This window comes from Homo sapiens, chromosome 4 (assembly GCF_000001405.40).
Source record: "Homo sapiens chromosome 4, GRCh38.p14 Primary Assembly".
Taxonomy (NCBI): domain Eukaryota; kingdom Metazoa; phylum Chordata; class Mammalia; order Primates; family Hominidae; genus Homo; species Homo sapiens.
The window spans coordinates 137280910-137298110 of NC_000004.12; positions in this window are offsets into that span (position 1 = coordinate 137280910).

A 17201-nucleotide genomic window follows, 5' to 3' on the forward strand; every position below is an offset into this window, starting at 1 on the left:
TTTAATACAGACTCTTAAAAAATTATACAACTAATACAGATTAATTAGGTAAAATATCAGAAAGTAAAGATGAAATAAAATTTAAAATACCAGTTACAGCACCCTGCATCCATAATCACTGTTAAATTCTATGTTCCAGTTAAACCCAATTATGAGAAAAGAGGCTAGTGAGGGAATAACTGAATCTGCCACGTCAGTCTTCCTCATGAAACATAAAGGCCCAGAATAACACTTTTCCATTGCTGAAAGTCGAAAACAATGAAGAGCCTGATAAATATTGGCTAAATAGATGGATAAATTAAATTTCATACATCATGGCCTCCATTTACCGAATAAAGTAGTAGGCAAAGTTTTCAACAAAAAAGGAGTGATTAAGAGTCAAAGAGAAGGACAGAGGGTTTGAGGAAACTGGTGAATCTTTAATATACAGTTACAGAGATTAAATACATGAAATACATATTAAAAGGATTAATGCTGAAAAAAACGTTGAAGTTTCAGCAGAAAGTGAGGACCAGACAGGTGAAGTACCACAGAGTGAAATTTTTCTGTAACTTTCTCTCTAGTTATAACCCAGGATTAAAAGAAGAGAAGAGAAAAGCATAGCTGCATTGAGCTTGTTGTAAGAGTTGGCAGATCAGGGATGGTGAGAGGAAAAGGATAGATATGCAGGAGTTGATTAAAGGGTGGATTTCACATAAAAATAGAGCAGAGAGTTGGGGTAGAATAGATTGTATGGTTGAAAACATGTGGAATCATTGATAATATTGATGTATATAAAGAGTCATTATAATAGGACAAAGGTAGTGAAAGAATAGAAAGTTAGAATGCTATCATTGGAAAATAACATATTCAAATTGTTCTATACATCATCTTTCAACAGGACAATGGTCAGGTTAAGGTCAAAATTAGATGCACTTTGTTCACTTTATTATCTTCACATCTTGTCAGTTTTTTGTCCTGTTTCACATATTAAATGAACTATTTGTATCTAGGCCAAATTGTAAATATGGAAATAATTGGGATGGACATAATAATCCTCTTATACATTTTTAATGTTTATTTCATCATTTGAAATGTTGACAGAATGTTCCATAATATATAAACATATGTATATAGTACTATTTCATCAAATGTGTAAAAAAGTAAATATAAATATATTGGGAGTACAAACCACGAAATCTTTAAGTATTGATTGCATGCTAAGAAGAGATTTGAGATTACTATTCAAAAGGAGGAAAATACTGATGTCAGTAGGTAATAATCAGAAATTCATACGATAATATATATATTAAAGAAGAATAAAGTTGGAGATATAGAATAGTTTTTGGAAATTAACATCGATTTCCAAGTTGATCTTACATAATTATTCAGTGAACATCTAAGATTTCTTTAATTAAGAGAGAACATAATTTTTAAAAATGTTTAAAAGGCAAAATGATATAAAAAGCAAGCCTGAGCAATATATTAAACAAAACAAAAACAAGAAAATTTTTAAAAACCAAGTAAATAAACAACCCTCAGGGAAAGCATTTACTCCCTCTGAATCTCAATTTCTTCATGTGTAAGTGAAAATGATTGGTTTCTATTTCTAGTCAGAATACATTTTTTCCAAAAATTTTTTGAAACAACATAGGAAGTTAAGTTTAATAAAATGATTCTATTTTAACTTAAGGATAATTTGAATGAAGGGAAGAAGAATGAAAAAATATTAGGTGAAGCCAGGGAAAAAAATCTTGCTTATCTATAAGAATATTCAGATCAATTTTTTGAAATATGAAATTATTTATGAGTCACACGGCATACAAGTGCAAAAAAAATGTGTTTTCTATGGAACATGTGAAAAAGAAAAGGGACATGAGGCCTTGGTAGCTAAAGAATTGATGTTCCCTAGGTGAACCCCGCATGACTGAAGCTGATATTAATACAAGAAAAAAGTGAAGGTCTTCGGAAGATGCCTTTGGTACTTCTTACTCTCATACACAGAAATGTCACAATTCTTTAAAACAAAACAAAGGTCACTGATGTAGTAACTCATCTGCAGAGGAAAGGAATCAAACGTGCAATGCAGCAATAGTGCCAATAGGAGAAAGATTCAGATCGAATGGCCAGATAAGTCACTAGTTTTAACCAAAAGAAATTTGCTGTAAGAGATTGAGTTCAGTCTTCTATGTTTTGCAAAGTTGGTCAAAGGAATAAACCACTTCTGAACATATAATCACTGGCTATTTTTATTTAACTCATATAGAAAGAGAAAGACTTTTCAAGTGGCTAAAATTCCAATGTTCAATCTTGTGTATGAGACATTACTTTTTTCAATGCCTTTCATTCTTTGCTTTACTTGTTGAAGTTTAATTTTTTGTTTATATGGATTGTTTAAAAGCAATGTATGTATAAGGCAGTGTGTGGCAAACAGATTAAATTGCTTAAATTATACCCCCTTCTCCTTGATGTCTTTGGAAATGGTGATTGTAGAAAAAATCTGCATAATAATATTTATGAGCATTTTGAGTACCATTTATATTAATAAATAAATAGAGTTGAAAAAAGGAAAGGTATTATGAGACCAATATGTATATAAAGGTGTGACCATTGTAAAACTTTATGGGTTAATATCTGAGGATAACATTTTATAATGTTTTCTGTTATTTGTCACTTTTTTCAGATTTTCACTTGCAATAACGATTTTGCCCAGCTAAATACTATATTAGTTTCAGAATGATTTACTTAATATTACTTTATGTACATGATATGCGGCTATAATATCCTCTTATTTAAAAGAAGGACCTTCATTATCAATGAGCACGTCTACAGCATTTTTCTAAAGTGCCTCTACTTGTTTGTCTAACTATGAACTTGTGGTTATAGTCTAATTATCAACTTTATTTGAATAAACTAAATTCTGTAAGTGTCCTCAATTATTTTACTCCATTTTTTTCTTTTTCCTAATTATATATTAAAAAATAGGACTACAGATTCTGACAATTTCTCAGAGTAGCTATTCAAAGGTAGCCAGCAGATGTCTCTCTTAGACTCATCCAATCAACAGAATGTGCTCCTTTCTCTTTGGGCTATTACAGTTGTAAAGTTACTCATCAGGTACCTGTTCCCCAAGGTACTGTCAGTGTAATTTAAACAGACTACTAAATGTTAAGATGATCTAACTCCAAAGCAAGAGAAAAAATTGTTTGTTTGTATGTTTTTTGTCTTTAGAGATATAACTGCCTGGTTCAAGAAGAAAACTATGAGACATCATGAGGTTTAATGTTTAAAAGTAATGATACCTAAGGCACAATAATCTTAAGATTGACATTTGGGGAGAAATGAACATTAGGTCTAACAAGGAAGTATACAATAAATGCCAACAATATGTGTAACACTGTACTGTATTTGCATACATCCATTTAGCATGTTTCTAATTTATGAAATTCTGATTTATTAAAGAATTTTAAAGTGTAAAGACTGAAATTATATATTTATTCAGTTATGTGTATGTACAACATAAGAAAGTTAAAATTTAAAGGCACCCAAATGATGGTCAATTTTTCCCCTTTATACATGTCTCTACCACTTCAAGGAGGCAAAGTGATTTACCACATATGCTCTCTTTGCACTTATGCCATGTCATGAATTGTGATACAACTCAACAAATGACAATTACTATTCATAAAATTATTGAAACTATAAGGCTCAGTTTGCAAATTTTATAAACTTCCTATACATCATTCTCTTTAAGGTTTAGTCACTCTTGTTTTTAATCACTGGCTATATATCCCTTGAACAAGCTTTTGTACACACAACCTTAAAATCTGACAGCTAAATATGCATGTACATTTCCAGAAGTGGAAAATAACAATTTTTCATGATATAAACACTATAGTTATCTTAAAACTGACTCTGATATTTAGATTTGAGTTGGACTGTTCTATTTGTTGGCTTTAGTAGCCGTTTTTAATCATTTGCCCAAACTTAGTTTATTGTCGTCTATTACTCCTGTGTTTTTTAGTAAAATTTCATATTAATCTTACAGGTAAAATTTGCTTCATTCAACTTTGTTATTTTATATTCAAATTATTTATAAACACACTTATGACACTTTATAAATCACACAGGTAATCTATACTTATGGAAAATGTTAAAGCACATACAGTTTGCTTTTCTCCCATTGCTATCTGTCATTTCCCCAGTTCCTTTTTGCACAGAAAACTTTTGAGACCAGTTTTTATCAAGATATTAGATGAATTGAAACACATGCGATCTTCTGTTTGATACAAATAATAGAATACCACATTGTGGAAAACCAAAATTAACAATCGCACAAATTTAGTTAAGTCCAAATCTTTACCTACTCTGTGCAAACAGATTAGCATCTGGACATGACCGGGATGAAACACACAATCATGCTCATGAGTCTCACCTCACCAAACTCAAGTGAGCCCTTAATTATCCCTGGCAAACTTACAACTTTTCCTAAGCTACTCACTTTCCTAACCCTGAGGGTGATTATTTCATTCATCTTTCTGCTCTTTACATCTTCAAAATCTCCTTCACTCAGCGTATCATTTCACTTTGTTTCACTGATAAGACAAAAATAATCAGAAGAGACAATCAGCAACCTTTAATAACCACATCTATACTCGTCACATATACTCGCCTTCATTCCTATTATTCTGCACTCTTAGCAATGACCAGCTGCTCATTCTTATACTAGATGACATTCTGTTTTGTCTACTCATGCACTAGACTCGGGTAGGTCTTCTCCTTTTCCACTATATTGCTAATTGATTTCTATTAGATTATTCTCATGATGTTATTTCTATTATTTAAAGCACAATTGTTTAAGCAAGCAATCTCTCTTGTTGCTATTTTCCTCTCCAACCATTAGCACATTCATCTCCTCCATTTATAATGAAGCTATTTCTTCCGAAGTTCACCCTCCCCTTCTCTTCTGAATCCGATTATATATGGTTATTATTTGTGATTGTTCAGTAGACATTAGAAAAAAATCTACAATCAAGATGATTTGTCAAATTATTTAAGTAATAAATGTCTTTATTATTATTTGATATTTCTTCAGTAAAGAACTAAAATAATGTTTGTTATAACTATCCTCATATTTTCTGTAAGTTTTGCTTCATGGTCTTTGATGCCATGTTCTTTTCTGCATAGTTATTCATGAATGATGTTCATAATTATCTATCATATAGTATTAGTTTGCTAGGGCTACTATAACAAAGTACCACCAACTGGTTGGTTTAAATGATAGAAATTTACTTTTCCACAGTTTTGGAGGCTGAAAGTCCAAGATCAAGGTGTCAGCGGAGTTAATGTACTCTGAGGCTTCCTTCTCTTCTCTCTTTGGCTTGTAGTTGCTAAGCAGCTAGACTATAAGCTAAAGAGAGAAAAGAAAGTCCCTGTGACTTCATGTGGTCTTTCCTCTGTGTGTGCCCCTGTGTTCATCTCCTATTCTTATAAGGAAAACATTCATTTTGGATTTGGGCCCTCTGTAAAGACTTCGTTTAACCTTAATTACCTATTTTAAGGTCCTATTGTCAAATAACAGTCACATTTTGAAGTACTGTGGGTTAGAACTAAAACATATGAATTTCGAGGGGACACAATTCTGCCTCTATACAACCCCTTTATAAACTTTCCCCTCTGCCTGTTTAGTCTAGTCATAAAATTCTCTTTGCTTGGGTGAATGTACTCTTTTCTGTCAAGTTGCTTTCTCCCTACTAGGGATCTAGCTTTTCACCCCGTCTCTCCTCTGCCAAAGCTTATTTGTTGCTATTTGCTCCTCTTGATGGTTCCATGGGATAAAATTAAAGACAGTAACTTCCCACACTTTTCATTTGGTCCACAGAAAACTTTTAGATTATTTGTCTGAATACATTCAGAGAGTAGAAGCTGATTCCTAAGCATCAGTAAGACTTTGTTGCCGAATTATCAAAGCATTTAGTCAATCTGTCTCTTTTGTCCTGTACATTTCCAGAAGAACAGAAAACTCAAATCAAACCATCACTTCCAAAGAATCTTGAGGAAGTTCTACTCACTTTGCTTAAGTTTAGAGGTAATCCACCTCTCCTGGAAGGTATGATGGAATTTTTAGAATTCCATTTACAGCTCACTTCCCTCTAAAAGAAAGTTATTTTCATGAATCAAATCTTTGTCTCATCCCTATGTCCAACTTTTGCAATTCTTATTGCAGTGATAGCAGTGATTGTGGGCATAGCTGTGGACAGAAAAAAATGATAGTAGATAAAACAAATTGTAGATATGTATGTAATATTTTATTATTTGGGAAAAAACAGAAATTAAATGTGATAAAATCTTAATTGACAGTAATTCTGGAGATGGAATATATATGTTTGTATTTCAGTCTTTGTTCTTTACTCTATTTTAAATTTTTCCAACAAAAATAGAAATAAAAGATTGTTATTAGGTTGGTGCAAATTTAATTGCATTTTTGCATTGTTGAAATTTGCCATTTGATATTGGAATACACTTTTCTTTTTTTTGAGATGGAGTCTCGCTCTGTCACCCAGGATGGAGTGCAGTGGCGTGATCTCGGCTCACTGCAAGCTCTGCCTCCTGGGTTCACGCCATTCTCCTGCCTCAGCCTCCCGAGTAGCTGGGACTACAGGTGACCGCCACCACGCCCAGCTAATTTTTTTGTATTTTTTTAGTGGAGATGGGGTTTCACCACGTTAGTCAGGATGGTCTTGATCTCCTGACCTCATGATCCGCCCACCTCAGCCTCCCAAAGTGCTGGGATTACAGGCGTGAGCCACCGCACCCGGCCTGCAATACATTATTAAATAAACGTGGTTATCTTATACATCATTTTAATGGGAAGTTCTCACTTAATTTTTTTTGCTAATGACATTACTTGCTATTTGTGTTTATTTTAGACTGCAAAAGTATTAAACGGATTAGACTACAGATGTTAGAAAAAAGTAAATTTGAGCAATTTTCTTATTCAAGTTCAAAAATGGGTTGTAAAACAGTGGAGACAACATGCAACATCAATAATTCATTTAGCCCAGGAACTGCTAAGGAAGTACAGGGCAGTGGTATTCAAGAAGTTTCGCAAAGGAGATGAGAGCTTTGAAGATGGAGTGTTTTTCCATTGTCAATTTCCGATGCTGGCCATTGGAAATTGACAATGACCAATTGAGAGCAGTCATCAAAGCTGATCCTCTTAAAACTACACAGGAAGTTGCCGAAGAACTCAACTTTGACCATTGTGTGGTTATTCAGTATTTGAAACAAATTAGAAAAGTGAAAAAGCTTGGTTAGTGGGTGCACCATGAGGTGAGCAAAAATCAAAAACATTGTTGAAGTGTCATCTTCTCTTACTCTACATCACAAAAACGAACCATTTCTTGATCAGATTGTGACATGTGATGAAAAGTGAATTTTATATGACAACTGGTGAAGACCAGCTGAGTGGTTGGACCGAGAAGAAGTTCCAAAGCACTTCCCAAAGTCAAACTTGCACCAAAAAAAGGTCATGGTCACTGTTTGGTGGTCTACTGCCAGTCTGATCCACTACAGCTTTCTGAATCCAGGCAAAACCATTATATCTTAAAAACCGATGAGATGCACCAAAAACTGCAACACTCGCAGCCAGCACTGGTTAATAGAAATGGGCCCATTCTTCACGACAATGCCCAACTACACATCACACAACCAACACTTTAAAAGTTGAATGAATTGGGCTACAAAGTTTTACCTCATCTGCCATATTCACCTGACCTCTTGCCGACTGACTACCACTTCTTCAAGCATCTTAACAACTTTTTGCAGGGAAAACGCTTCCACAACCAGCAGGATGCAGAAAATGCTTTCCAAGAGTTCGTAGAATCTTGAAGCATGGATTTTTATGCTACAGGAATAAACGAACTTATTTCTCATTGGCAAAAATGTGTTGATTGTATTGGTTCCTATTTTGATTAATAAAGCTGTGTTTGAGCCTAGTTATGATTTAAAATTCATGGTCCAAAACTGCAATTACTTTTGCACCAACCTAATAGTTCAGGTCAGCATTTCTCTTACCAACTTGTGTGTTCTTTACAAATGGTTTAGTAAACCTGTATCTCTACATGAAACCCACTACCTTATAATAGAAAGTGGCATTCATAGTAGTACATTTTGTTACTAAAATTATGTAGATAAATTTTTACTTTTTCTTTCTTGCTTCTTTTCTCAAACCATCAATTAAAAGAGAGAACAAAATGATTTCTCCACCTTCTACTCCTTACCCAGTACAAATACTCTGGGGTACTAAAGATGCATGTGCATTTGTCATGATTCTCCTGAGAAACATAACCAATAGCATACATAAGGATATAATGAGATTTATTATAAGAAATTGGCTCACATGATTATAGAAGCTAAGTCTCATGAATTGCTGTCTAAAAGACGGAAGCCCAGGAAAGCTACCGTAATTCTGTCTGAGTCTCAAGGCCTGTAAACAACTGGAGCTGATTATATAAGACCCATCCCAAGTTCAATGGCCTGAAAACCAAGAGCCTGATTTCCAAGGACAGAAAAAGATGGATGCCCCAGCTCAGTTAGAGAGCACATTCATCTACCTCGCTACTGTATTGAGGCTCTCAATAAATCAGATGATGCCCACCTACGTGGGTGAGGGTGATATTCTTTACTCAGTTTACCAATTTAAATGTCAGCTTTTTCCAGACACACCCTTATAGACACACCCAGAAATAATGTTGTATCAGCCACCTGGGAATTCCTTAGCCCAGTTAAGTCAGCACATAAAATTAGCTACCATGTAATATAAACTCCTTTTGACAGTGTCATTCTTTGACACTTTAAATCATAAGACTGAAATTAGTACCTTTTCAAAATAATAGAAAGTTTTTCACCATCCCTCAGGACAAACTGTTCTAGTCTATGCTGTGTTATGTTATGTTATGCTATTCTAGTATTTCTTTATTCAATCAAAAATTATAATTGAGTACTTATGTTGTACCTAATACTATTATATGCACAAAAATAATAGTAGTAAAAAAAAAAGACCATATTCCTTTTCTCAGAGAGCTTATCTTTCAATTATTCAGTTCAGTCTGTCTTTATATATTTTGTCGTATAGTTTCTGCCAATTCTTGGGCTCAAAAGTAGACAGGCTCATTAAAACTAAAAATCATGCAATCTAACAGGTGATTTGAGGTGCTCCTTCCAGTTGGGTAATTAGGTCCTGAGATATTTGAATTAATGTTAAGACAGTGAGCATAGTGGCTTATGCCTGTAATCCCAGAACTTTGGGAGGTCAAGGTAGGTGGATAGCTTGAGTCCAGGAGATTGAGCCCAGCCTGAGCAACATGGTGAAACCCCATCTCTACTAAAAAGACAAAAATATTAAATTAGCCGGTCATAGTGGTGCACACCTATAGTCCCAGCTACTCAGGAAAATGAGGTGGGAGAATCACCTGAGCCCAGGAGGTCGAGACTGCAGTGAGCCAAGATCACGCAACTGCACTCCAGCCTGGGTGATAGGAGTGAGATCCTGCCTCAAAAAAAAAAAAAAAAGTATGTATGTGTGTGTGTATATATATATATATATACACACATACACACACATATATAGTGTGTGTATAAATATATGTATATATTATATATATATATAAAGACAGCTGTTTATAAAAACTGTGATAGGAGACCCTGCCTCAAAATATAGACGTGTGTGTTCATATATGTGTGTGTGTATGTGTGTGTGTGTGTGTGTGTATATATATATATATATATATATATATATATATATATATATAAAGACAGCTGTTTGTAAAAATTGTACTTCAAGAGCAGTATTTAACTTCCTGGGAGAGTGGAAGTGAGACCTGGCAGAACCATATCTCTAGACAAAATTGTACACCGAAATGAAAGGATAAGAACTGGACATCAGAGAACATTCAGGGACTGTATTACGGATATACAGATATAGTGTGTGTCTGTGTGGTCCCAAGGGCAGAATGCAAGGTCTCATGAAACAAGACTAACAACTTTGTTGATTCAATGCTGAAAGATAAGCTGTTGCCCTCTTTCAATGATGCAAAATGAATTTCTTAAGCTAAAGTTGTCAAGCACACAAAAATTAAGTCCAGGCCAAAGCTAAAGCCTGATAAAGTCACAGTGAACCACTTTTAGATTCAAACACTTTATTATTTACTTTATTACTTTACCAAGCAAAAAAGATTAGCAAGAGGTGCCAGCTTCCTATGCTTTGTTGTAAAACAAAAAACAACACTAAAACAAAACAGTACACCTTGGTGTAAGTAGCAGGATGCCCTGTTGCTGTTTCTAACTCTAGACTGCAACTAAGTGAACTTATGTTTCTGAAATTCTTTTCTGAGTGTGGCACTCCAGAAGTTTCATCAAAATTCAGGAGGCGATGAGAAATTGTTTTATAATAACAAGGAGATAACGCAAGGTGAGTGGGAAACGGCCCTGTAGAAGCTCCCTGCATGCATTCCATCCTCTTATGTTCCAGGAGCTTCATAAGGCATTCTGCTAAGACTCAGGTTAGCTGTGGTTCAAATCTTCGTTTGTGTGACCTTTATGGATACGCAAGGTTGACAGGGTGCCATGGTGGAATCATTCTCCTATAGGGCCATGACTAAAAACACTGTAAGGCATTGAACTTGCTTAATGTGTTTCTTTTCTATTTTTATCTCTATAGATATCTTTAACATGTTAAGAGAAATATCAGATCAACTTTCATTAGTTGTGCTATGTCAGTTTTAATCTAAAAGATAATGCATAAAACAGTATTCCTCACACTCCACTCTATTACATTTCATTGGTAATAGACCCCCCTTCACCCCACTATTCAGAATGACATGCTTTTATCCATGTGTAACTGAATATGAGCTTCACTTCATGAAACACTTTTTCACTCATTCCAAGTGAGTAACAGATATTCATTGTCCACCATATTATTTGTGTTGCTATTGCCCTGCCTCAAACACAATTCCTAAAAATGACTACAGAAATTCCAGATAGCTAGTTTTTTCCATATATGAAAAAATTTTAGCTAGGCTTATTACCTAATATTGTATACTCTGCCTCCTTTTAAGGAATCAAATAGCTTTGCAGTACTTAAAGTATTATCCAAAACTGATTACTCATCATGGGTTTTAGTGCCTGGTGGTCTGGTAATTACCGATATATTTTTAAAAGACTTTAAAACTAAATTAAAACTTGAACCATGCAATTATGCGCAATGCATATTGTAAGGACAGCTAATGAACTCTATCATTTTGCTGCTAACAGCTGTTTTCTCCTCATAAATTCTGTTCATAGATTCCATTCATACTACCACACAAAATAAAAACAGGAAGTTAGAGGAGAGCAATAGAACAATATAAACATTTTCTTTTTCTTGTAGAACCTGGATCACTCTCTAATGACAAATCAAAAACAACCAAATAATTTAGATATATTTGAAAAATAATGCACAGTTCCTGACAACAGACAGAGGAAGAAATAAGAAAAGGAGAGAAGGAGGAGGAGAAGTAACAATGAAAAGAGGGGTAAAGAAAGAAAGAAAGGGAAGCAGGGGAGAAGGTGAAAAAGAAGGAAGAGAATAATAAATTTTAACATATTAAGAATAATGATTCAGATTTAATGATGTAGACATTTGTCCATTTTTACTTCCCATATTTATTAAAGAACTAAAACATTAACAAATGAAGTTGCAGTCTCTTTGTGTATCTTTACAATCACATTCCTCATCTTTGCTTCACATAAATAAACATTCTCAGTTTATATGATATCCTTGCCCTCACTTGAATAAGTTTACCATGTATGTATCCATAAGTTTGCTTTTGTATATTACTAATGCATTATTGTAATCATACAAATGTTATCATTACAATAAATATTGACAAGCTCTCTTTTTTTCTTCTTTAATAATATTTTGGCAATTTTTTAAACTTTAGTATATATTTAACAAAGAGTTTGATGAGATTCTATGATACAATGAATGAATAAAATTGCTTGGCCAAAATCTTTGTAATGCTAAGCATTACAAAATCTTTGTAATGCTAAGTTTTGTCACCCACAAGCACAGTATATATCTTTAATTATTTAGCATACTTTTATTTCCTTCAAAAGGTTTATAAACTTTATCCAGAAATATGGATAAAGATTTCCTTTGTTAGATTTATCCTTGTATATTATTTCTTACTATGGTTATTAATATATTTTTCATTAAATTTTCTTTTTCTCTTGTAAGTTTTGCTTTCTTTTGTCAAAATTATACACATAGTAAAATTGAGTATATTAAAATTGCCTCCACACTTTTGCTAAAAATTAAACAAGTCAACACTTGTTAACATCTGATTATATCTTTTTAAAAATAGGCAACAGAAGCCTGATGAATCTGAAAATAAAAATGGAGTTGGTCAAACCACCAAAGTAACAACTGGGAATGACAGCGTGAAAATGAAATGCAAAAATATCCACAATTTCATGGAAATACCCTTCCTCCCCCAAAAGCCAACTTATTCTTATCACTTCAAGCAGCATGTTTTACACTGAGTGGTAACCTGAATAGATGCAGCTGGGAATGACCAGTGAAATTAGGAAAATTTCTCACAGGAGCTGAATTAATAGCAATGAAAAAACTTGTGAGCAGACCTAAAAGGTCTAATATTGCTATCTTAGTATATTCCCCTGAAAATTTTAGGAATATCAAGCTAAGTCTCTCTTATAAAAGAAAACAGTTCACATAGAGACCAAATACTGAGTACAAAATTGAAATTGAGCGGGGCCAAAATATTAGACATTAGATTTTGTGGGAGTAGATCACAGATAGCAAGTGATTTAAAAAAACAAAAAGTTTGAAAATGTGCCCAAGCTAATCTTCCCAGAAAACCCACATCATTTAAACATCAAATACTGCAAAAAAATAAAATAAATAAAATCTAACTCCATGCAAGTGTATTCCAAGAAAAAAAAAGATAAAAAGAAACTAGAGGGTGTTTTAATAAATAATGGAAAAACACCAGAAACACACAACAAAAAAGAAGATGAAAGCATTGATTTAATACATATAAGTGAGGGAAAAATAAATTATAAAAAGTTATGCAAACATTGAAAGAGCAGCTAAAATTAGAAATAAAAAACCTCAGAACTGTTTGCCTAGGCAAATGGAAGATACAAAACAAAACGTCTCAGACACCAGTAGTTACTGGGGTTGAAATTGGAGGGTGGAGTACAAAGCAAAAAAAACAATAGATACCACAGTTAAAAAAAAAAAAAAAGCAGAGGAAAAGCAAAAGATGGAAAGGGGAAATGCATAAAGGTATTGGAGAAATGAAAAAGCAGAAGAAAGAAAGAAGAAAACTATTTTTTAAATCAAATACGATTAAAGAGTACATATATTTGAAAGTGATAGTAATAAAACACAAGCTCTGGTCAAGGTGTAATAATAAGGAACAAACTTATAATCCCATCTGAAACAACCAAAAGACAAGACAAAAAGAAAAGAAAAAAAGCAATAGTTTTTAAGACACTTAATACCAGACAGAAGTGATACCCGAAAGAAGGAAAGCAAACCAGAGGAATCTTACATTTATTTCAGCTTATTGCCTTGAGAAAGGTTCCAGCCTTGGCACAGAGTCCTGAAGACTCCCTGAGTTGAGGAAGCTTAGTAGAGGCCCTGGGGAGGACTAAGTGGCTATAATTTGCAGGAGAAAGTACCAGAGAGGAGAAAACTGCACAGGGAGAAAATTCTGGCTGTCTACAGAGTCTCCTCTGAGTACTCAGCAAAGTACTGAGCATCACATGCATGTGAGGAAACTACTTTAGAATTGTGGGAAAGATCATTCAATAAAATTAGAGGAAACAGTGCCTGGTACTCACAAAGGGCAGTAAATATCAAGACTGGACAATTTCAGGATATACAGGGCATTCGATGGAATATTCAGGGGACTCTTACCTCAGTAATGGGTAATATTAGCCTTATAGTAAACACTGCTATGGAGTCACCTAACAAATCAAAAATAAAAAATAGAACAAAGTGGATTCAACTGTTTCAAATAAATTAATCAAAAACATGTATAGGAAATCAAATCTATACAGCACCATTTGAATGTAAAATTCAAATTGTCTGGCATCCAGTCTAAGAAACAGATGTAGTAAGAAAAAGAAAACTATGACCTATAATGAGGATAAAAAACAATTAATGAAAACTGACAGAGAAGTGACACAGATGCTAGAACTTTTGAAAAATAAAATTAAAGCCATTACTCTATTTCATATGTCTAAAATTATGAAAAATAGAGAAATGAAGGATATTTTTAAAATCAAGCAACTTTTTAAATACATACATGGAATTTTTAAGATAGTGCTCAAGAAGACAACATAGCATAATAGAATTTTATCCAAGTAGTTACTAATTAGATCACAGTATGATTAGTATGTCATTACTTTCATATAAAATTAATTTTCTGACATACAAAAAAGTACAAATAATATAACAAATACTCATATATTCTTCACTAAACTAATGAAATAAACACAAATATTTTGAATCTCCTTGTGTACTCCTCAGATTGCTTCTTTCCTGTATTTATCCACCTAAGAGATGAAGCTCCCCAATTTGGTGTTTATTTTTTCCATGCACAGATCCTCATGTTTGCTATATATTTATATATCCATAGTGCACACATACATATACACACGTATTTTTTATCTATTCAGTCAACAAATATTAAGTGGTATATACTATTACATTAAGTGCATGTATTATTCTAGCTACTAGAAATAGGACAAAGGACAAAACACAGACCAAAATCCTTCTTCTCATAATGATAGCATTTTAGTAAGTTAGGCAGTGAGCAAAATAAATTTCTAAAATATATAATATGTTAGATGAGGGTAAGAGATAAAAGGAAAATGTCGTCCGTGTCAAGTTTCACAGACAATGTATTGTTTCTTGAGTAAGTAGTTAAAGGAAATGAAGGATTGAAAATATACTGGATATATATAAAGAACAGTAAAAAAATAAATATAGAAAGGAGGAGAGGAGCAGAAAATGAAATCAGAGAGACAAAAGAGTCTAGAGGAGTGTACAGATTTGGACTGGCTGGAGGCATTCATAATAACTTATTAACAACTCTTTGTCAGATGGTAACCAGTTGGTAGAATTTTATGCAGAGAATAGGCATGATATCATTGATATTTTAATCAAAAAATCCTGGTATGTTGAAAATAGACTAGATTTATTTTGTTTTTGTTTTGTTTTTCAGTGGTGGGCTTGATAGAAGGCAGGAAGTTCACTTGTGAGGCTGTTAAAATAATCCAGGTGAAAGATAATGATGGCATAGGTCAAGATTTTAGTTCTGAGCTATTGGAAAGAGAACTATCATTAGCAGAAACAAACAAGCAAACAAATCTATTAAAAGAGCATGTTTGGAGGCAGTGGCAGCAGAATGATCAGGAGCTCAGTTTCGAACACATTAAATTAAATATGTATATTATAATATCAGGCAAAGATACCAAGGGTACAGTTGTATATATGAGGCTGGACTGAAGGGGAAAGAAGATTGTAAATATAAAATTTGGAAGCATTACCATATAAATGACCCTGAATCGGCTTCAAGAGAATTAGCATGAAAGTAAGGAGAAGTGGTCCAAATACAGTCATGCATCATTAAATAAGGATACACTCTGAGAAATGCATCCTTAGGCTATTTTGTTGTTGTGTGAACATCACACAGGGTTCTTAAACAAAGCTAGATTGTATAGCCTACTGCTCGACTAGGTTGTATGATATAGCCTGTTGCTCCTAGGCTAAAAACCTATTGCAGCATGTTACTGCACTGAATACTGTAGGTAATTGTATTACAATGGTAAGTATTTGTGTATCTAAATATAGCAAAGGTAATGGGTTGCACAATGACATTGTGGTGGTTACGGTGTCACTAGATGATAGGAATTTTTCAGCTCCATTATAATTTTATGTGTCCATCATTTTATGTACAGCCCATTATTGATCAAAATGTCATTATAAGGTGCACTAACTCCCAGTGAGCAACAACAATGGGATTGTGAGATGAGGAGAAACCAGTTATGGGATTGAGATTATCCTTTGAGAAAGAAGGAAAACCAGGAGAGTGTGATGTCCTCAGAGTAACAAATACGACAAATGCTAACAGATCAAGTAAAATAGGACTGAGAAATAACCATGGAATTCTCTTATTGGAAGTCATTGGTGACCTCGATAAGAACCATTTTGGTTAGGTAGTAACAATGAAGTCTTGCTGGTAGGAGTTCAGTAGAGAATAGTGGAAGAAAAACTGGGAATCATGGATATAGACAAGGAGATAAGTGGAGCAGTATTTGAGAAATTCAAGGTTAAGAGGCCATTTAAAAATGTGAGAAACAACAGCATGTCTATATATTTATAGGAAAGTTCCAGTAGAAAGGGAATGGTTGAGCAAAAAAAAAAAATCACTAAAACAAAGACTTTGGAAGATAGGGAGACGACCTAGTTCATAAGTATGAAGGTGAAAGATATGCAGAGGAAGAAGTTGAAAATATGAGTTCAAATGCAAGTAGGTTATTAGAAATTGTAGTGGGGGTTGTAGAAAGTCTCTTCTGATTGCCTCCTCCTTCTCAGTGAACTAGGTAGTAAGGTATTTTATTAAGACACCCCTAGAAAATTAATACAGTAAATCATAGTGAGATCAAAGCTGTGGCAATACTGGAGCGTTAGCCACAAAGACAGGAAGTAATGGCTGGAGAGCCCAATGACTGAGTGTTAGACTTGTGAGTGGAGATATTGGTGAAGATCATTAGATAAAAGAACTGACAGGAACTGAGATGCCAGAAAATGGAAGATAATGGGTTGTCTTTTAAATCATCAAGAACTATGACAGCACCAGTATTGGAGAAAGTGATGGGAAATCAGAAAGTAAAAGATTAAGTTGATACTGGGAACTGATCAGAGAGCTTTTACATGGCAGGTAGGAGCAAAAATAGAGGAATGGCTAGCATGATCTGATGATATAAGATTTAAAGCTGATATCATTATGTATGTTTAAACCTTTATTCAACTGGTGTCATCTATATGTATTCTTAGAATTGGATTTTTATGTAGCCTTATAGTTGACATTTATCCACACAGGTATATGTTCATTAATTTCTACTGCATAATATTCCATCATATATCT